The sequence below is a fragment of the Homo sapiens genome, chromosome 10, assembly GCF_000001405.40.
Source record: "Homo sapiens chromosome 10, GRCh38.p14 Primary Assembly".
Taxonomy (NCBI): domain Eukaryota; kingdom Metazoa; phylum Chordata; class Mammalia; order Primates; family Hominidae; genus Homo; species Homo sapiens.
In genome coordinates this window covers 70,978,799-71,000,495 of record NC_000010.11, presented here as the reverse complement: position 1 = coordinate 71,000,495, position 21,697 = coordinate 70,978,799, and the positions used below count along the sequence as shown (strand labels likewise).

At 50.3% G+C, this 21,697-nt stretch overlaps 1 long non-coding RNA gene across 1 annotated transcript, besides 3 other annotated features; it reads right to left on the bottom strand.

The window, feature by feature from the left end:
- Positions 1-1,350: 1,350 nt before the first annotated feature.
- LOC105378350 (uncharacterized) lies at positions 1,351-21,639 on the bottom strand. The gene is made up of 3 exons (XR_001747493.2): positions 21,546-21,639; positions 2,803-2,986; positions 1,351-1,487 (listed from the first exon to the last, which is right to left on the bottom strand). It is a non-coding gene; the product is annotated as an uncharacterized LOC105378350 (long non-coding RNA).
- Positions 17,725-17,804: a silencer, noted in NCBI's record as "silent region_2458". NCBI's record gives its function as "represses an Ori minimal core promoter by ATAC-STARR-seq in GM12878 lymphoblastoid cells {active_cell/tissue: GM12878}" and the evidence as "EXISTENCE:reporter gene assay evidence [ECO:0000049][PMID:35858748]".
- Positions 18,531-19,030: an enhancer, noted in NCBI's record as "H3K4me1 hESC enhancer chr10:72741223-72741722 (GRCh37/hg19 assembly coordinates)". NCBI's record gives its function as "activates a minimal SCP1, AML or CMV promoter by ChIP-STARR-seq in primed H9 embryonic stem cells {active_cell/tissue: H9 hESC(primed)}" and the evidence as "EXISTENCE:reporter gene assay evidence [ECO:0000049][PMID:30033119]".
- Positions 19,031-19,532: an enhancer, noted in NCBI's record as "H3K4me1 hESC enhancer chr10:72740721-72741222 (GRCh37/hg19 assembly coordinates)". NCBI's record gives its function as "activates a minimal SCP1, AML or CMV promoter by ChIP-STARR-seq in primed H9 embryonic stem cells {active_cell/tissue: H9 hESC(primed)}" and the evidence as "EXISTENCE:reporter gene assay evidence [ECO:0000049][PMID:30033119]".
- Positions 21,640-21,697: the final 58 nt, after the last annotated feature.

Genomic DNA, 21,697 nt, shown 5'->3' with positions numbered 1-21,697 from the left:
TTAGCCAGGCGTGGTGGCGGGATCCTGTAATCCCAGCTACTCGGGAGGCTGAGGCAGGAGAATGGCATGAACCCAGGAGTTTGCAGTGAGCCAAGATTGCACCACTGCACTCCAGCCTGGGTGACAGAGCAAGACTCTGTCTCAAAAAAAAAAAAAAAAAAAAAAAAGAAGGGGGACCTTTGAGAGGTGATTAGGTCATGAGGGCTTCCCCACCCCTCATAAATGAAATTAGTGCCCTAATAAAAGCTTGAGGGAGCTCATTTACCCCATCTGCCATATGAGGACACAGCAACAGGCGTCATCTTTGAAGCAGAGACCAAGCCCTTGCCACGACACTGATTCTGTTGGCACACTTGATCTTGGACTTCCCAGCCTCCAGAACTGTGAACGATAACTTTCTCTTGTAAATTACCTAGCCTAAGGTATTTTGTTATAGCAGCCTGAACTAAGACAGGCCCCGAGGGCAATAAACACAGGAAGTATTTATTCATTAGTTTTCATCTCCCATTGGTCAAAGGTTGCCTGTGGGCATTAACTGCCCTCTACACACACACACACACACACACACACACACACAAGAGGCATGTGCACACACACATACAGAGACAGAGGGAGACACAAGAGACATGCACGCACACACCTATGCAGAGACGGAGAGAGACATAAGAGACATGTGCACACACACAGAGACAGAGACACGAGAGACATGTGCAGACACACAGAGACAGAGACAGGAGAGACATGTGCACACACACACAGAGACACAGAGAGGCACGAGAGACATGCGTGCACACACACACAGACACGAGAGATGTGCACACACACAGAGACAGAGGAAGACACAAGAGGCATGTGCACACACACAGAGACATAGGGAGACACAAGAGATATGTACACACACACAGAGACATGAGAGATGTGCACACACACAGAGACAGAGACAGGAGAGACATATTCACACACAGAGATGGAGGGAGACATGAGAGACATGTGCACACACACAGAGACAGAGACAGGAGAGACATATGCACACACACACACAGAGACAGAGGGAGACATGAGAGACATGTGCACACACACAGAGACAGAGACAGGAGAGACATATGCACACACACAGAGACAGAGGGAGACATGAGAGACGTGCACACACACACAGGTGTCTGCACACATATTGACACATTTCCGATTTGCACATGCAGAAGTGCCACCTAGATTCCTGCAGATGTCTCACGTCATGACAAGGGGGCCTCATTCGCACCTGGAGTAAGGTGAGTCACTGTCAGGTTGCACCTGAGGGAGGTCTATCAGTCTGTTTTGTGTTGCTATAAAGGAATACCTGAGGCTGGGTAATTTATTTTAAAAAGGAGTTTATTTGGTTTATGGTTCCGCAGGCTGTACAAGAAGCATGGCACCAGCATCTGCATCTAGTGAGGCCTCAGCGAGTTTTTACTTATGGCAGAGGATGAAGAGGAGATGGCATCACATGGCTAGAGGGGGAGCAAGAGAGAGGAAGGAGGTGCCACATTGCTTTTTTAACAACCAGCTCTCGGGTTAACTAATAGAGCAAGAACTCCTTCATTACCGAGGGGAGGGCACCAAGCCATTCATGTGGGATCCACCCCCATGACCCAAACACCTCCCACTAAACCCACCTCCAACATTTGGGGATCACAGTTCAACGTGAGATTTGGAAGGGCCAAGCCTCCAAACTATATCAGGAGGCTACCAGCCTGTGTAGAGCTGGTCAGCCCAGGAGGGAGAGGTATGGCTGAGTGACCTGAGGTGTCTGATAGCATTACCTGCTTCAAGGTGTGCAGGCAGAACTCAAACTGGATGTTTTCAGTACAGGCAAAGGCTGGGCCCAAAGAGTGAACCCATCCATTCCTGGGTCCACCCATCCCTGTGACCATAATACCTCTGTGCAAAGAGGTCCCATGAGTGGTTTAGGGATGGGGGAGGGTAGCCAGGGTCTGAGCAGAGGGTCTGAGCTGGGCCCTGTGGTAGGCATAGGGGGTGTTTCTGAAGTCCCTGGAGGAGGGACCCCCGTCTGATTTGAAAAATGGTCTCGTTCTCCCTGCCTCACCATAACAAAGGTATCCTGGTCAGGAGACACGAGTGCGGCTTGCACATGTCAACTGTGAGGCTGGGACACTCCCAGAAAAGCTTTCCTGCCTGCCACAGCATCCCTGTCCTGCTGGTGTAATTAACCCTGAGCTAATGGGGCGAGGCCTGCAAGGAAGCAGTGTGCCATACCATAAGGTGGGTCTCAGCACTCCTTCCCGGCCCCTCCACATGCTTTCCCTTTCCTCTGCCCCCTGATTCATGGACGCCTCCCAGCCCCAGCCCCACTGAGAGTTCCTGGGCCAGGAGGAGCAACAGCGAGGATCCCAGGGCATCATGGACGTGGCCCAGAAAGCCCCCTGGACCCCCTTCCTCAAATCCAACAAGAGCCATTGATCAGGAGATTCTTTCTTGTTCTGGCCTAAATGTGCTGGTGGTATTCCTAGCCCAGAACCTAGAGACCCTGCTCCTTGCCCTAGGGGTTTCAGGGTATAGGGAGTCTCATCTCAACATTCCTCTTTCCTGACCCTCCTGGGGAAAGAGGGGCTTTGAGGGTAGAGCACGCTCCTGGGGGACCCCTGATAAAAGCCAGCTCTCCCACCACATGGAGAACCAGCCCCACACTCAGCCACAGAGGCTTTGTGGAGCTTGGGCCTTGGAAGTGGGCAGGCCTGGGTATAAATGCTGCTTCTGAGAGGCCTTGAGCAAGTTGCTACACCTCCTAAGTGTGCATTTTCTCACCTGTGAAATGCGGAAAAACTAGGACTAGCTCACAGGGTTGTCATCAGCACGAGCACTGAGGTGTGAACAGCACTTGGCACATAGTACACTCTCAGTAAATGATGGTTCTTATGACGATGATGCCAGGATGGAGATAGTGGACAGGGGCATCCTGCTGTCCAGAGGATGATGTTCAAGGCTGCAGCTGGGAAGAGAGGAGAGCAAGGGCTCACGTGGACGTCCACAGGACCACCAATGTGGGGCCCAGCTCCCCACAGGGCCTCCCAGACAAGCCCAGGCAGCCAACCCTCCACTGCCTGCCCCATCCTGCCCAACCCCACCACCCACCAATATCAGAAGAGACTGGAATCTAGAAAGGAGGGGAGTGTTTTCCCTCCTGGATGTCAAAGATGGGGAGTAGGACAGCAAGAGCCTTGAATTAAATGGGAGCCTGCAGGATTTAAATAAACAGAACTGGCTTTTAGAGAACGGGAGTAAGACTACTTAATAAACAAGTCAGGAAGCTGTGGTTAATGGAGCTCGATCCTCCAGGGTGGGTGTGTTAACAGGGTATCGACAGTTACTGGGGGGAAAACTAGCCGCTTCATGTTCACATCTCCATGAGCTGGGATGCCTGACTGGACATTGTTATCATCCTTTTCATTCATTAGGCGAACAGTATTATTTGTTGAGTACCTGCTGGTACAACTACCTCCCTTCACCAAGTGCCCTGAGGATGCATAGTCAGGGAACTTAGCTGGGTGCCTCTCAGGTCCCTGTTCCCCTGGGAAGGAGGCTCTGACTCAGTGCCTCAGGGGCACAAGTCAAGCAGGTCACATCCTAAAGCATGGGGAACCAAGGACCTGACAAGAGTGGCCTCCTGCAGTGCTAAAGGCATGAAGCCCACCTGAGTGTGAAGAGGGCAGCAAAGGGCCACAGCCCACAGCCAGCTTGGCAGTAGGAGGTGACATGCCCACAGTCCTGCAGCAGGGTCAGCTGAGTTGGGCTGGTCCCCAGGTCCCCAAGGTTCATGGTACAACCATCTCAGGTGAAACTGGCTCATGGCAGCTCATTCTGCCCCACACTTGAGTCCTGCCTCCCTCTTTCTTTCTCTCTGTCTCTCTCTCTGTCCCTACAAGTAGGATGGTGGGTGAGCAAACATCCTCCAAATGCAGGGGAGCCTGGGTCTGTCTGTGTCCCACTCCCCATCCCGCTTTGTAGCCCCTCCAGAACACTACCTCCCCTCATCTCTGGCCAGCTGACATCTTACCATCCCTCCCTGCCAAGGTAAGTCGGTGTCAGATGGTTTAATTCATAGCAATGAACCCACCTACCTGTACAAAAATAATGCCTGGGAGGTACCCTCGGCCTTTATTCACCTCAGTTCTAATTCTATCTTTACTACTGTCTGGCTTGGTGACCTTGGCAAGTCACTTTGTCACTGGGCCTCAGTTTCCCCATCTGGCCCATCATGAGATTGAACTAAGTCACTTCTAAAGTTCTTTCTAGAATTGAGCCTTCCCCACCCAGCACCCCTTAACAACAAGCAGCAGCAACACTTCTCTCCCCTCTCTACAATGTCAGCTCCACCAGAGGACAGGGACTTGTGTCTGTCTTGTTCACTCCAGCATCCTAAGACACAGAACAGTGCCTGGGACATAATTGCCATTCAAGAAATATCTGTCAAGTGAATGGAAGAATCAGCCACAGCTCCTATTTATTAAGGGTGTACTGAGTCCAACACCGGCCTAAACGCTCTGCAGGCATGGCCAGAGGACAAGCTATTCAGGTGGCTGTGCATCACGGTGGGGAGCAGCAGGGCTGGGTGGGTCAAGCTGGGAGCCCAGAGACAGACTGTGAGTGGCCCAGGATCACTCACTCTCTTTAAAATCTGGAAAGCCCTGTAACTGAAGTCCTTCCTAAGTCATTGTCAGATCTTGCTTTTCTCCCTTCAATTTCATTTTTTCTGTTTGATTCTCAGAAAAGGGGGAAAGTACCATTTTATATCAGCTATTTATATACCCCAAAATCTTATTACATTCTTCCCAAGAACGCTGTGACAAAGCCAAAAGGCAAATAACAAACTGGAAAAAAAACATTTTTACCATATATGAAAGACAAAGGGTTAACAGTCTTAATACAAAGAGCACTTCAAACCATTGGGAAAAGATAAACTAGGAATTCACAAATTCAAAGAGCCAATAAACCAGAAGGAAAATTAGAAAAATTGTCAACTTCACTAATAATTCATGACATGCAAACTCAAATAATAGTAAGATGCAACTTAACACGTAGCAAATTAGCAAAGATTCGCTCAATCCAGTGTTGGTTTGTGTGTCGGGAAAAGCGCATCATGATGGTATACTGTGGGTATGAGTGAGAAGTGGCACATCCTTCTCCAGGTGGGGGCGATTGGGCTGTCAAACCTGAGACTCTTTAACACAGGCATACTCTTCAACCCAGTGATCCTACTCCTAAGTATTAATCTGAAGAAATGCCTCAAGGATGTGTATCTAAATGTTAATCAAGTGTTCTTAAGAAGTGCCTGGTTGCCCAGTGATTAAGCTTTAGTCAAATGATTCCAGGTGCCGCCACACAATGGAATACCTTGAGCCATGAAGAATGATGCATACACACCATCACGTCTTTAGACCATCTTTAGACAGACTCAGAAAACTGCTAATAGTGGGGGTCCCTTCAGAGGCAAATGAGGGGTGGAGAGACAGGGATGGGAGGGGAATTCATTTTCCATTCTGTTCTCTTTTGTACTGTTAGACTTATTTATCACATGCATGTATTAACCAGTGAAAATAAAATTAATTACAAATGATATAGAAATCTATTTTTGTCAAAAGATAATAAAGTTTGGATGGCTGTCTATAAAGTGTGAGCCAGAGTTATTGGTGGAGGGAACTCCCACCTGTCTCTACACTTTGGCCCCTCTTCCCACCCTCTCCTCTCCTCCACCTCATAAGCGAGGAGGAGTTTAACTGAGAGTGGTCCAAGCCTAGGATATTTGGGGGCCACCTTCACTAGGGGGCAAGGTCACTGCACTGAACAGCCACTAGTGAAGCACTTCTTCCACCCCTGTCCCAGGCTGCAGAAGGCAGGTCGGTCCTGCCCCAAAGAGGCTGCCGGCTTTGATTTCGTGGGAAAGGGGTAGAAAGCCCCTCAAAGGCTTCAGGCCTGGGCCATATTCTCCATCCTATCCCTTACCAGGGTTCCACATTCATTCATAAATCTACTCATAGAGTAGCAATTGGAATCTCATCCGGCCACTGTTTCTTGTATACAAGTTCCTCGATCAGAATTCCGCACGGGGTTGGGGAAGGGGAGTTGTGATCTGGGAATTTCTGGGTGCTTGGCTCTATCTAGTATCATAACAACCCAGAAACTTCACCCAGAACTCAGAACCATTCTCTCTGGGTAATGGGATATTATAGGATATTTTAATTTTCATGTTTGTGCCAGTCTGCTTTTCCTAATCTTTTCAATATTTAGTAATTCTTAAATTTTTTTTCCAAAGAAAAAGAACGGGAAAATCCCCTCTGGGACAACCTTGCTGAAGACAGGGCCCTGGTCAATGTTTTTCGCAAGATAGACACCTGCCCCACAACTTCCTTTTAATCAGGTCATCGAATTCTCCCAAGAAGTCTTTTGTGGACATCAAATTGCCTCTGTGCTTGGAAGGGATTAGGAAATGCCAGTTTTTATCCCAGGGGATTGGTTTTTGGAAGAACCATGTCTTCTGAAGACCAGAGGGGCTGTGAGAGAGAGTATTCGAGTCAACACGTATTAATGCCTGACATTTGTACAACATCCTGCGATTTACAGAGATCGTCCACATCCATTATCCCCTTTGATCCTCCTACAAACCCTGGGAGAAGGAGACCTTCCTCCTGGGAATGGGAAATAAATTATTAGTAATCCCATTTGACTCACAAGGAAACTGAGGCACAGAGAGGTTAATTGCCCTAGGTGGTAGAGCCCGGCTATAGACACAAGCACTCTGCCTCTGAATCCCACACCCTTGCACTGTATTCTCCCCAAGCTGAGTGAGGTGAGCAAAGTGCCTAACCCTCCTGAACCTCAGTTTTTCCATCTGACAAGTGGGAAAAATAATAGTACCTTCTGCCCTAGGGTTGTTGTTAGAGTTAATTGAGTTAATATGTGTGATGTCTTTTTTTAAAAAAAAACAGATTTAGGGGATACAAGAGCACTTTTGTTATATGAATATATTGCATAGTGATGAAAGCCGGGAATATGTGTCATATCTTAAGACTGCGTCTAGCAGGTAGTAAGTATTCAATAACTGAACGATTATTAAAGGTGGAATCTCCCAGGTGTGTGCCACACCAAGTCCTAGTCTTGCTCACCATGCCGGTCTGCAGCCTGCCTATTTGCTGAGTGCCTCCTCTGCACAGGGCTCTGCAGGGAGAGAGAACTAGACAAGGTAGAGGGACTGCCTATAAGAAGTTCACCCTCTAGCAGGACAGAGGCATTTACACACCCCAGCCCAGTAACTAGGCACAACAAAGGCATTGAGACTGCGGGGCAGAAGGCTTTATTCTTCTTTGGAAGAAGGATTCTGGGAAGGCTTCCTGGAGGAGGTGCTGAGGCACCTGGCTGATGTGATCCTCCAGGATGAGGACTGAGTTCCAGTAATGGAAGGATAGAGGGTGGCCTGACAGATGTGGTCCATTTCTGGCCACAGTAAGGATGTTTTCCCCTTCTCCACCCAGCACAAAATGGGAGGCAAATAATAGCTTGGGAGATGTCGCTTCTTGGAGCCACTTCCCCTGTTGCAAATCAGATAGCCAGGCCAGGTGTAGTGATGTAGGGTCTATGGGGTTGGATAGAGAGGAAAGGAAACATACCAGCAGCCTCTCCCTGCCGTCTCCCGCCACAGCCTTGCCATGCCCAGCAAGCTTTCCAAAGTCAGGCTACCCTGTACAGGTGCCAAAGTCTGTGGACGGAGGCTCTCAACAAAGAGACAGAATGGTGAGCGGGTGGAAGCTGCCTTCCCCTCCCTATGCCACCACACCCCGTTGTTCCCATCCTCACCATGGGCACTCCAGGCCTTCACCCTTCAGAACTGGCTCTCAGGAAAGGCTCCAAAGAGCTGGATGCCACTGAGGGAAAAGTGTCCGCAACCCCTGTGACTCCAGAGGAGTCTGTAGATCCAGGGGAACACGCACACCTACCCTTAGTCAGCCCGAGAACACTGCTTCCCTGTGGAGCCCAGAGGAGCACTCAGTCCTGCTTGCAGCTGTGGGGCCTTGAGCAAGTCAGCGAACCTCTCCAGGGTCCGTGCTCCTCACCTACGGGGGCTGGGAAGGAGCCTGCTTACTCCTGTTGCCCTAGCATAACAGGTACTGCCTGACAGCCTCAAAACTGTTCCGGTTTGGATGATAAAGTGCACAGTCTCGCTAGATTACCTGTGAAGTGGGACTAGTCACACTCTGTATTGGGGAATCCAATGAGATAATCATGGAAATACTTTGCGCTGGCCAACTGTGATACATTCTGTTTTGGAAGGGGTTAAAATAGTATTGGATGTTTTTAAAAAGTCAGTCTTAATTTAATATCTGAAAGAGGCACTTTTGAAATAATGATAACTAGTGTGCTCTCTAATTCTGCTGGTACTTTTTCTGAACAAGAATATTCCATGCAGCCGGGCACTGTGGCTCACACCTGTATTCCAGCACTTTGGGAGGCCGAGGTGGGTGGATCACTTGAGCCGCCCGAGTCCAAGACCGGCTTGACAAACATGGCAAAACCTTGTCTCTACTAAAAAATACAAAAATTAGCTGGGCGTGGTGGCGCATGCCTGTGATCACAGCTACTTAGGATTTGCTTGAACCTGGGAGGCAGAAGCTGCAGTAAGCTGAGATCGTGCCTCTGCACTCCAGCCTGGGCAACAGAGTGAGACTCTGTCTCGAAAAACAAAAAAAAAAAAAAAAAAAAGAAAGAAAGAAAAAGAAAAAAGAATATTCCATGTGTTTAGTTCAACCCTACTTGCAACTCCTTCATACTGTAGGCAAAGTTAGCGGAAGAGCCTTGGGAAAAGCACAGGGGCACACTATACATCTTGGTCTAAGAGAATATGTTGCAACCTCTATTGTATGTTTTACTGTGGCCTTGCAGACAAATTCCAAAACCTGCTAGCTTGTGGAGGGTTCAAAGGCCAGTCCCCTCCCCAGGACTTGCTGCTGGAGCCAGGTTACACCTGTGCAAGAGAGCTGGTTGTTAAAACTTCAGAAATTTCAAGAACCAGTTGATGGTTGGTAGCTGGAAACTGGCCGTGGTGGGAGCATTTACACCACAGAAATTGGCACACATGACAAAGCAGGGCTTCCCCTCCGCCTCCTGGAGATCAGACTGTTAAATATTTAGCCACATGCCACTACTGAACGCCCACAATATTTAGCAATCTGTGACAAGAGACTGAGAAGGAGGTCCCATCTTAATCCCAGGGCTAACATGTGTGCTGCCTCATTTCATTTCCTCTCCCCACTATTTCTTTCCAGCCCTGGACCGGTGAGGCCCAGGAGCTCCCACTTTGCTGTGGGATCGCGAGGGAGGAGACTGCAGTTTGATGTAAAACATGTTTAGCTGCAGGAACTCTCCAGGGTGTAGAGGCCTGAATTAATGGCATCTGGGGTGCCCAGTGTCTAGCGGGGTGCCCTTCCCCCAGCTCTCCTGTCTGCCCAAGTGTCCACACTGCCTGAGATGTACAATGTGTGCCTGCAGGCTCATCTCCTCAAACAAATAAGCCTGGGTGTGGGTGCTTAGGCATTTCTTTCCCAACAGACCTCCTGCCAGGGATGCAAACCCTGGGTAAGGAAACAGCATCCGGCCACAACCCGACCACCGCCCGCCCTGGACCCAGGCGCTAGAGAGGAGGCAGCACTAGATGCCCAGAGCAGGGATCCTGGCTCTGGTCCCATCTTGGCCAGTGCCATGCCCACCACCCTCCCTCCCCAATCCTCTGTCTGCCTTTCTGTAAAACAAGACAAAGGAGAAGGAGGCACTTTTACTTTCTCAACAGTCACCCCGGGAATTCCTCTTGGGGACCACGCTGTATTTATTTGGAGAAATAATATGTTGGTCTGCCTCTTGGGTTGAGGAATGAGACTCCGAGGAACATGTTAATATCACAAAATATGGTCCCTGAGCTGCCTTCTCACAGAGCCTGGGTCCTATTCACAGTGCCCTTTGGTGCGCTGCGCCTGATGCTGGGTCTGAGTTTGTTATTTGGGGGCAGGAGCCTCGTCAAACATAAAATGCTCTACATAATTAGCGGGCAGGAAATGGCAGATCCTGGGGGGATGTGGAGGGCCAGGGGGCAGGCTTGTGAAGAGGAAGCTTGAGAGTCTGACACTTGGTGGAGACAGAGGAGATAAAAACAGACCATCGTCCGGCCGCAGTGGTTCACACCTGTAATCCCAGCACTTTGGGAGGCCGAGATGGGCAGATCATGAGGTCAGGAGATTGAGACCATCCTGGCTAACATGGTGAAACCCCATCTCTACTAAAAATACAAAAAAATTAGCTGGACATGGTGGCGGGCGCCTGTAGTCCCAGCTATTTGGGAGGCTGAGGCAGGAGAATGGCGTGAACCCAGGAGGCGGAGCTTGCAATGAGCCGAGATCACGCCACTGCACTCCAGCCTGGGCGACAGAGAGAGACTCCGTCTCGGAAAACAAACAAACAAACAAACAAACAAACAAAACAACAACAACAAAAAAACCAGACCATCGAACCCAGTGGTGCCAAGTCAGAGAAGGAACTTCAGCTAGGGAAGACAAAGCTCATGGGGGTTTTCTTTTAAATGTCCTATTGAAGGATAACACACAAAGACAAAGCACACAATCACACTGCCACCGTTCAATGGATCGTGGCAAAGTGAAGACGTGCAGAGCAAACTTCCAGGTCAGACACAGGACACTGCGGGATTTGCATGCCTTTCCCAGGAAACTATCTCCCCACAAAGCAACCGCCGCAGAGATTGTCTTTGCCTGCCTCTAACGTCGCAGAAACAGAATCATACAGGTGTGTTATTTCGTGTCTGGCTTCTTTATCTCAGCGTTTTCTCTGTGAGTTTCAGCCATGTTGCTGCACTGTAGCTATAGCTTTTTTATCCTCATCCCATGGAGTATTCCACTGGCTGAGTAGCTCACGGTTTACTTACCTATTCTACCTGGAAGAGAATGTGGGTCATTCCCATTTTTGACAATTATGCACAGTGCTGCTGCTCTGAACGTTCTTTTGTTGAACACATGTACACGCTGCTGCTGGCGCGTGCTCAGGAGTGGAAGGCCTGGCTCATGGTCTGTGTATGTGCAGCTTGCAGGACAGTTTTTCTAAAGTTGCTGTGCAAGTTCACATCCCACCAGCTGTGAGGGAAAGACCCAGCTGCGGTATGCACCAACCCACACTGGGCCTTGTCTGTCTCTCTCATGATCATCTTCCTGGTGGGTCTAAGGAGGTGACTGCTGTCACCTCCATTACATTTCCAGGGAAGTCCATGGAGCTCACAGACACCCTTGGACAAGGGATTCTTTCCGGTAAGTCAAAGGGGTGCCAAGCTAAACCTTCAACTAGGCCATGGAGGGAAGGCAGAGGCCGTTCTCATGGAAGTGGGAGCAGAGGCTGAGAAGGGGTCTGACCTCTGGATTCCAGAGGGGAGTGGCTCCATGAACCCCACCCTCCAACTCCTAAGTTCCCAGGACTCCTGAAATTCCTGCCTCGCACACACAGCTGGCTCTCAGGAAACTGCCTCTTGTCTCTGATTGCCACACCCAGTCTGTGGGGTGCACTCATCTCTCTATCTCCTGCCCCTCCTTGATACCCTCAATCTCTGCAACCCCAGACCCAGGCCCAGAGTAGGAGGCAGTAACGGCCAAGCCCAGTGCCTGCCAGTCATCATGATGATGTGCAGCTGAAACTCCAGCGGGACCTCAGGCTGCATAAATAGAGGCACAGTACCCAGAACAAGGAGGGGACAGACCCACTCTCCACCTCTCAGGCCCAGGACCAGACTCCCCTCTGCCTGAGACGCACACAGACTACCCAAAAGACACCCAAGGTGGAGCGGCCATGACGTCACTCGAGTAGGCAGTACTTCCTGAGCTCATTCTGGGTGCCAGGCCCAGCTCCAGGTGCTAGGGACACCTCTGAACAACAGGGACCAGTACCATGCCTTTGTGGGAGATAGGGCCTAGTGATGCAGAGCTTTAAAACCCCGGAATAAGGTTACTTCTGGAATTACTGAGAACTGTGAAGTAATTGAAGAAGAATGGTGGAAAAGAGCGTGGCTAGAGTGCGAGGGGTGGCACAGCAGCTGGAAGTAGGAAGGTCAGGGGAAATGTCATCTCTCAGGAGGTGACATTGGGAGGGAAATCCAGAGAGGAGGAGCCAGAGAGAAGAGGCTGGGGAAAGCATTCCAGGCAGAAGGAACTACAAGTGCAGAGGCCTGGAGGCAGGAAAAAGCTTGGAATTTTCTGGAATCTGACAGAAGGCTAAAGGGTAGGGGTGTGGGGACAGTGGTGAGGAGTGAGGAGAGAAGGTATTTAGAGGCCTGATTGGGCAGAGCCTCAAAGGCTGCCTTAAGAGGTTAAATTTCATTCTAAGGTCAACAGAAAGCCTCTGAAGGAAACATTTAGAAAAGATGTGGCAGACACCCGGCATCCTGGCCTTGCTATCTCAGCTGCAGCCTGGTAGGCCTCATGCTGGCGGGGTCCATCCTCGGGACACCTGCACACCCTCAGGACGTGTTCAGCCTCAGGGCTTTCTCTGACACCTGGGGAGCCCCTGCGCCTGCACGGGAGCTTAGTCCCCAAATGCAGGGGAATAAGCTCCTGCACAGCCACACTCAAACACAGGACCAAGCCCATGGATAAACGCTCCAGTGCCCATGCTGCTTCAGGGGCAACCCTGGAGGCCTTCTGCATGTTTCTTGAGAGACCCGGCAGAAGCAAGCCCCCCAGCTCATGGCGGCAGCCTCAATAACACACTCTTCCATCAGCTCCTCCTCCTTCCCCTCCTCACGCTCCAGATACTTCCATGATACCTCCCGGGATCACCGCCCAGCTCAGCCACCTGCACCCAAACCGCTGCCATGGTCTCTTCTTGATGGGAGGCCATGGCGCCATCCCACTGATGCTCTTGTTGATGCAGAGTGGGCAGTGGGTAGGAGGGGGAAGGTGGGAAGCCCAGAGGCCGGTCAGGGGCTCCCCTGGTCGTGCAGGAAGAAATGGGGTGGCCTGGATCACAGTAGTGGAGGTGGAGTGGAGGTTGCATCCAGGCTGTGTTTTAAAGACTGTACTTGGTGATGGTTTGGATGTGCTCAACCAACAAGACTTTGAGGATCCAGGACTGTTTTGCTTGAGCAAGTGGAGATTCGGGTAGCACTTACCGCCTGCACCCTCCACCCCAGCCACAGTGTGAAAGATTGTCCTGGAGAAGAGACTCGACCATAGGCAGACAGGCCATAGGCTTCAGCAATGAGGACAGGGGACTGGCAGGTAATGAGTGTCAAGCTTATGCCAAGCACACACTCATCTGCCTATCCCCAGCCTCATGTGGTCCCTGGGTGCTTGACTGCAAGGTGCTTAGTGACACACCAGGTCTCAAAGGCTTAGAATAAGAAGAGAATGAGAAATATCTTGTTAATGCTTTTTTACATTAAATATATTTTGAAATAATATTTTAGATATATTAGATTAAATGCATGTATTATTAGAAATTAATTTCACCTGTTTGTTTCTTTTCACTTCTTTAATTGGGCCCCTGGACAATATAACACTACGCACCTGCCTTACATCTGAGGCCCACATCCTATTTCTATAGGCTGGAGCTGGGCTAGAGGGTGTGCGTCCACTGAACACTCAGGCCACGCGACATCATGTGAGGAGACTGCTCCTGCCCATTTCCAAGCAGCAAGGCTGAAGTTCAGAGAAAGCAAAGCTCCGAAGTCCAAGCTTCTTTCTACACTGCGTGCCCCTTAAGGGGCAGTAGCTTTTTATACTAGAGTTTCTACACTGCCAGGGTAAGGGCTCAAGCACCGGACAGAGGAGGCAAGTTTAGGGTGATTGACCTTGAAGGTCACTTCCAGCCCTGACACTGTGCTTGGGTGTCGGTGGAGGGACGTAAGGACCCTTCTCCCCTCCCCCATCACTCTCCAGGGGCCTCCTGACCCCAGGACGACTAATGGTTCCTCAGCCCCACCTTCCCACCCACTGGGCTCCACCCGCCCTCTTCCCACTGTATCAATCCCCTGAGTAATTTATGAGAGCCATCAAAGTTAATTAATGCCGTAGTTACGAAGCCATCCCAATGTAATTATTGTGTAATTGGATTATAACTTAGGTAATTTCTGACAAAGCACCTAATACTTATGCAAGAAAGCCAGGGATTTTTGCCGAGTGATTGATGGGGGTGTCCGGGCCAGATGGGGAGGTTAGGGGCTGTGTATGAGGTTGGGGAGGCTCCCCGGGAGGAAATCACAGCTTTCAGGCTGAGGCATCCTGTCTGAGCTGGAGGGGAGAAAGGCAGGTGTGTGTGGGCTCCTCACCCTCAGCCTCAGGCCTTCCCTCAAGGCGGGACTGGTTTGGGCCCACCTGCAGCCTCCTTCCTCCCTGTTAGCTCTGCCTCCACCTTCAGGCTAATTTGCAGCAGCTTTAGTCCCACCCAACACCACAGTGACCTGTTTATTCAAACTCAACTGCCAAGTCACCTTCCCCACCCAGCCCTGCTCTGGCCTGTTCCATGAGCGAGGCCCTATTTGGTCTGGCATGACTCTGCCTGCCAGCTGCTCCAGGGCCACAGGTGGTTGGACAGTCAGCGACAGGAAGGAAAGTGGTCAGCCACACGCAGAGAGAAGCAGACACAAGGTGGAAGTGGCTGAGCTGTAATCCTTAAACTCTTGAAGGTGTTACCAGAAAGGGGCCTGATCAGACCCCAAGAGAGGGTTCTTGGATCTCGCACAAGAAAGAATTCTGGGCGGGTCCATACAGTAAACTAAAAGCAAATTTATTAGGAAAGTAAATGAATAAAAGAATGGCTACTCCGTAAGCCCTCAGGGCTACTGGTCACTCATTTTTATGGTTACTTCTTGATTATATGCTAAACAAAGGGTGGATTATTCATGAGTTTTCAGGGAAAGGAGTGGGCAATTCCTCGAACTGAGGGTTTCTCCCTTTCTTAGACCATGTAGGGTAACTTCCTGACATTGCCGTGGCATTTGGAAAATGTCATGGTGCTGGTGGGAGTGTAGCAGTGAGGACAACCAGAGGTCACTCTTGTTGCCATCTTGGTTTTGGTAGGATTTAGCCGGCTTCTTTACTCCAACTTGTTTTATCAGCAAGATCTTTATGACCTGTATCTTATGTTGACCCCCTTTCTCATCCTGTGACTTAGAATGCTAACTTACTGGAGTAAATGTTCTTTACTCCAGCCTGTTTTATCAGCAAGATCTTTACGACTGTATCTTATGTTGACCCCTTTCTCATCCTGTGACTTAGAATGCTAACTCGCTGGGAATGAAGCCCAGCAGGTTTTAGCCTTATTTTACCCAGGCCCTATTCAAGATGGAGTTGCTCTGGTTTAAACGCCTCTGACAAAAAGGTGACCCAGGCCCTCCACTGCCTGGGACCAACAGCCTTCTAGACCCCCATGTGCCCAGCTGCTCTATGCTAAGAGCTTTAAGCACAGCCAGAGCAGCCTTCACAACCTGACTCATGCAGGCCACTGCCAGCCTATATGATCTGACAACACCAAAACTTCTGGGAGCCTCAGTTTCCTTGTTAAAGGGAATAATACTACCATGATGCCTGGTGTGGTTTGGATCTGTGTCCCCACTCAAATCTCATGTCGAAATGTAATCCCCAGTGCTGGAGGTAGGGCCTGGTGGGAGGTGATGGGATCATGGAGGCAGTTTCTCATGAATGGTTTAGCACCATCCTTCTTGGTGTTGTTGTGAGTTCTCATAAGATCTGGTTGTTTAAAAGTGTGTAGCACCTCCTCCCTTGCTCTGTCTTGCTCCTGCTCTCACCAAGTGAGACACCTTACTCCCCTTTTGCCTCCCACCATGATTGGAAAGCTTCCTGAGGCCTCCCCAGAAGCAGAAGCTGCTACGCTTCCTGGACAGCCTGCAGAACCATGTGCCAATTACCTCTTTTCTTTATAAATTACCCAGTCTCAGGTATTTCCTTATAGCAATGCAAGAACGGACTAATATAATGCCTTGTAGAGTTTGTGGTTGTAAGCAACAGAAAGCACCTCTAGCTAACTTAAGCAAAACAAGATCTCCTAAAAGCCTACAGGGAAATTTGGATGATCAACAGATTTCCAAGAAAATGTAAGAAACAGAAACCAGCAAACTAGCAATGACCTTGTGCCAGACAATGTGCATTCACTGCCACCACCCACTACCTAGGAAGTGTCCTAGGAGGATGGAGGGTGGCGGGACACAGAAGGAAGGGCAAGAGCTCCTTGGATGGGCCCCTCTACCAAGGCCATAGCTTCCACTGTGCGGCCGCTCCTACAGCTTTTCTCTACAGAGGTATGGCCATGCCTTCCCTTTGCCCCTCATATTGGGGTGGTGAGAGCTCCCACTGTTAGCCTCAGGGTACTGTATCACCCTTGATGGTTTTCCTTAGCCCTGCTCATACACTAATTCACTGTCCTCATCGAATTCTCCTCCAATAGCCCCTAGGAGTGTGCCACATGTTTCCTGCTGGAACCCCAGCACACAAAGGCTCCTACCAATGCTGTGATATCAACTCTACCCACTTCCGTCCATCCCAGCTTCACCTCCTGGGTATCCAAAGTCCTGGGAGGGTGTCTGATACCGGCTCACCTCCTGACTGTCCCTAGGGTGGGAAGAGGAAAGATCTGCCCCCGCTTAGTGTCTGACAATGAATACCTGGAATTGCCCTTCTCCCAAGGACTTGACATAATAAGGATGGGTTGGTGTCCTAGAGGGCCACCAGGAAGGGGGTTAGATGTCGAGCATTAAAACCTGCTCCTTTGTATTCTTTGCAATGGTAAACTAGTGTGTAGAAAATGCTTAGCCAGTGCCTGGTACACAGTCCGTGATCCCAGTAAATGATAGCTGCTGTTATTTGGCTTGTTCAGGTGGGATCCTGAACACAGTTTACCTTGATATCCTTAGATAAACTTTGTCCCTTGTGGCAGCCTAAGCAAGCCTCTGTCCCTTGCCACCCTGAGGCCCTGGCAGGCTCACTTTACAGCCTCTTCTCACCACATGTCATTGGCCCAGCACATGTGAGGAAGACAAGAGGCCTGTCTGTGTGCAGTATCCTCCCTTGTCTGGGTGTGGGCCACTTCTCAAGATGTTCTCCCATTTCACAAGCATTGATTGAGTGACTTCTGTGTACCAGGCTCTGTCCTGGGCACTAGGATAGGGCAGAGAGCAGGACTAACAGAGCTCCAGCCTGCAGACCAACAGACACTGGACATGTGGTCAGAGGAGGATGCATGACTTGGGAGGATGTCTGCCCTGTGACCTGAGGGAAGACTAAGAATTCAGGGCATGTCTGATGGCCCAAGTCATCCCGCTCTGAAGGTGTGTATTTCTCCAGCATTTCCTTTCTACTGTGTGCCCATCCTGTGCACACGGATGGGGCCAAAAAGTGTCCCAAACTCTGTTCCCAGCTGCTCATAATGGAGCCAGCTGAAGCCTGCTGACAGTCAGGGAGGGAGAAGCTAAGAGGATAGAACATGTCTGTGGGCTTCCTGGAGGAGGCTGAGGTTTGAAAGGTGATGAGAAGGGATTGGGGCAAAAACATTGCACTTGGTGCTGCCTGAGCCAACAGCCATTCCCTGTGACCGGGGGAATTCCCTGTGGGTTCTAGGAGCAAGACCTGGAAGGACTCTGGGGTGCTGGCCCCAGCAAGGGGCTGTCAGAGGCTGGGCACAGGCTTGACCAATACTGCCTGTACCACAGGCTGGAGTCCAGTAGACACTGCCTGGAACATGCCATGCCAAAGTTTGATTCGTGTTCTCTCTGAGTGCAGCACAGACCTAATCTTTGTCACGTGTGCATCTGCCGTGAATGTATGTTAGCTCCAGCCAGGCTTGTAAAACCAGAAAATTTCTAGGTTTCACTTTCAGTCCAGTCTTTAGCATGTTTTCTGATAGGTTCAAGTTATTTTCTCTTGCTAAAAATAATGTGCTTGGAAGCTTTTCTATTTAGGGCAGAGCCTCCAATGTGTAGTGTTTATGCCTGTTATATTTAGCTAAGGCATGTCAGGATTTGAGGCGACATGACATGTTCCCTCAAGGCAGAGCCTGAGGCAGGGATTCGAGGCACAAGATTTTCTGAAGGAGCAGCTTCTTCAGTAAAGCCCTCATGGGAGGGAGGTTGGGGAGCAGGATAGGAAGGGAAGGGAAGGTCTTAGGGAAGGCCTGGCCTTGACCCGACACACTGAGAGCCTTTAGAGAGTAAATCATGGCACAGTGAAGTTGTTCTGTTTACGGAAGGGGCCAAGTAGGCTGACAGCAGGAGAGACTGTCACCTTCGGCTGTTTGTGGGCAGCAGCTCTGGCCCCCAGGGAAGTCGCTGGAGTTGTAAGCGCTGGTCACCCAGCAGCAGCTGGGGAACGGGCCCATCTTCAGGCAAAGGGAGCCCTGGGTGAGGCCCAACAGCACCTTCTGCAGCATCTTCTCACCACACTGAGCCACTTTTATTATTTTCTTCCCATACACCTGAAAGATTGTATCAGTCTCTGCCTCTGCAGCTTTCCCCCAAAACAATTCCAGCCTCTATCTAGCCTGGAGCCGCACAGAGCAAAAGCATACAAAGCATGTGGAGAGAGAACGATGAATAGAAAATATGAGTGCACAGGACTGCTCCCTGAGTGCCCCCCAAGTACCTGACTCTATTGGCTTGACGTCCCTCCCTCCGCTGAGGGGCTGGTGGGGATGACCAGAGGGCCAGGGGGCAGAACTAGGCCTGGGGGCTCAGCCTAACTCAGTGACCACAGGATTCAGAGCAGGCCACCTCCCATCACTGGGGCTCACTTCCCTCCCTCAGAGAGTGGGTAAAAATTTCCCCAGCCCTGCCAGGAGGGGCCTGTGGGGTAATGGAGGAAGCAAAGACGCAGAGAGGAGGTGTGACTGGCCCATCCTCCACTGCAAGGAGGTGGGAGGAGAGGACAGGGCAGGCCCAGCCTCAGCCTGACCCGAGTCCTCCACAGGTGGCAGGCAGGCAGCCCCCCTGCAGCCCTGAGACTCCCTAAGGAGTCAGATAAAGTCCATAATAGGTGCTGAGGGCCTGTTGCCTTCTGGCTGGGCCTTGGCCCTGGAGCCACACCTGGTGCACTCTCCGCATCGGGCCACTCCTCTGGTCCTGCAGGGGCTGGGGAGGCAGGGATGCTGGGAACACCCTAGACAGCCCCAGCCACAGCATCACCCACAGCTGCATTCTCCCTCTGTGTGTAGGCAATGCTAAGCCCAGCCCCGGGCAGGCAGAGATGACCCAAAGGGATAGAAGGGCAGGCCTGAGGCTGGGGGTGGGGGGGCAGGCCCACCCATATTCCTGTGCGCTGCAGTGTGTGAGACGCTGCACTGGCTGCAGAGTGACAGGGAAGAATGTCACATCTCATGGGGCCCTCACAGAGTCCTAAGTTTAATTAGGGAATAAAAATACCTATTACTCTCAGTATCTGTACAGCTCTGTACAGTTTGCCAAGATCTTTCGTGCATGCACACACAATCCTTGAACATCATTTGTGCAACATTTGGTATCTTTCAACACCATTCCAATGGAGGCCTCATCCCCATTTCACAGATGAGGGAAAGTGAGGTCTGGAGCTCCAAGGTCACCCCGTTAATAAAGAGCACAGCCCAGACTCAGAATCAGGCCTTCAGACATTAAATTCCCATGCTTTCTGCTGAGCCATACTGAAAGAGGAATTAATGAGGCTGATGTCTTTAATATCATAACAATATCATAAATAACTTCAGGGGCCCTGGGCTTTGCTTTTTAATAATTGTTTTAGCAAAGTCAGAGGCATATAGAACATGCTGTTTTGCAGCCTGCTTTTTTTTTCTTCCTTAACAACATCTTGTGAACATTTCCCCCATGTCGTTAAATATTCTTTTACTGGGCCATCATTTTTAATGGCTGCATGGTATTCCATCACATGGATGCCCCATAATTTATTTAACCAATCTCTGTGTTGGACCTTTAAGCTATTTCCAGTTTTTTGCCCTCATAAACAAGGCTGTGATGAGCATCCTTGTGCATACATCTTTGCACCCATTTCAAATTGCATCCTGAGGGTCAAAAGGATGCATTCTTTTTAAAAATTATGCATTATTTTGATGTCTATTACCACATTTCCTGAGGTTGTTCATTTTCCCTTGTCCTCAAAGTGGTAAAAAAAAAATTTAAATTTTGAAATACTCAAAATGTTAAAAATTGCATCATTGTCCCCAATCAGTCAGGTAATCAGTTGTGTGACTTTGCCAGGTCACCTGGCCTCTCTGATCCTCCGTAAATTCATGTATCAAATGAGGGCCGGGCAAGCGGGTCCCTAAATCTCCTTCTGCTCATAGAGCTCCAGGAGAGCCCCAGACTGCTCAGGTTACAGCACTCAGAGGACAGAGAAAGTGCTGAGGGTTTCCTGCGAGGAAGAGGGGCTTGTACTACCACTGGAAGATACATAAGGATTAGGAATGGGCATAGAGGGAAAAGTGAGTCTGGGTGGAGTCCTCACAACCTCTGCTCTGCCGAGCTTAGAGATGGGCCTCTTGGTTAGCCAGGGCTGCCAGATGTCTGCTCTAGTGTCTTCCTGGTCCCAGTAATTTAGCACAGGGGCAGGAGAAGTGTTAGGGACATTTGTACGTCACACACTGTTGTCTGGAACAACATAAGGACCTCTACTGGCTTCCCTTGCTGCCCTTTAAGGGAGTATAACACCATCATTGGGAGCACATAATTGGCTCCCACGAATAAGGATCCTGTCCCCACATGGGGGGGCAGAACCAGGTATCACCAGGTGTGATTTTCTGGTTCTGATAAGTGGGATTTTGGCCAGGTGATACCACCTCATTATTCCTCAGTTTCCAAGCTGAAGAGCAGAAGCAGTGATACCGACCACATTCATTCATGGACCCACTCATTGGTGGACCAAATGAGTACCTCCTGTGGTAGGGCACTGTGCTAAACACCGGGCACTCCTTCCACCTGCACAGAGACAGTGAGCTGGCATGGAGCTTACCCTCTGAGGGAGGCAGACGTTAAAGAAACCATTACTAAATAGATACATACATGCAAACAGATTTCCACAGGGCTCTGAGGAAGCACGAGAGCTATCGGAATGTGAGAGGGGCAGTGGGAAATAATCTGGCCTGTAGAGAGGGATCGGGAAAAGTGTCCAAGAAAAAAATGACATTTACAATGAGAGATAAAAGATAGAGTGGAGGAATGAAGTGTCGGGAAATGGGAATAGCATGGGAAGTGCACAGTGGCAGGAGGAAGGATGAGGCCATTGGGAGCCTCCAATGGCAGAGTAGCTGGAGCCTGTGCCACTGGGAGGGTGAGCCCCGAGGAATGGAGAGTCTGGCAGGGGCCCCTCCAGGCAAGGCCTCCACCTGAGTCTGGGAAGGTAGTCCTGGAGGGCTGCCAGCAGGGAAGGGTGCCCCAGCCAGTGGTGCTCAGGGTAGGGAAGGGGCAAGAAGAAATAGACGCAGAGGAATGGAAGGCAGGGACTGAACTCTGTGGCACTCACCTGCTGGGGTGGGCAACCAGGGTTGGGTTACCACAGGTGACAAGTGTGGAGGCTTCTCCTTCCTGAAAGCCACAGGAGCTGGGGACCAGGGAGGCTGCGGAGGAGAAGGTCAGCCTTTGATTTTCTCATCATTCAGCTTGTGGCAGGGGCGG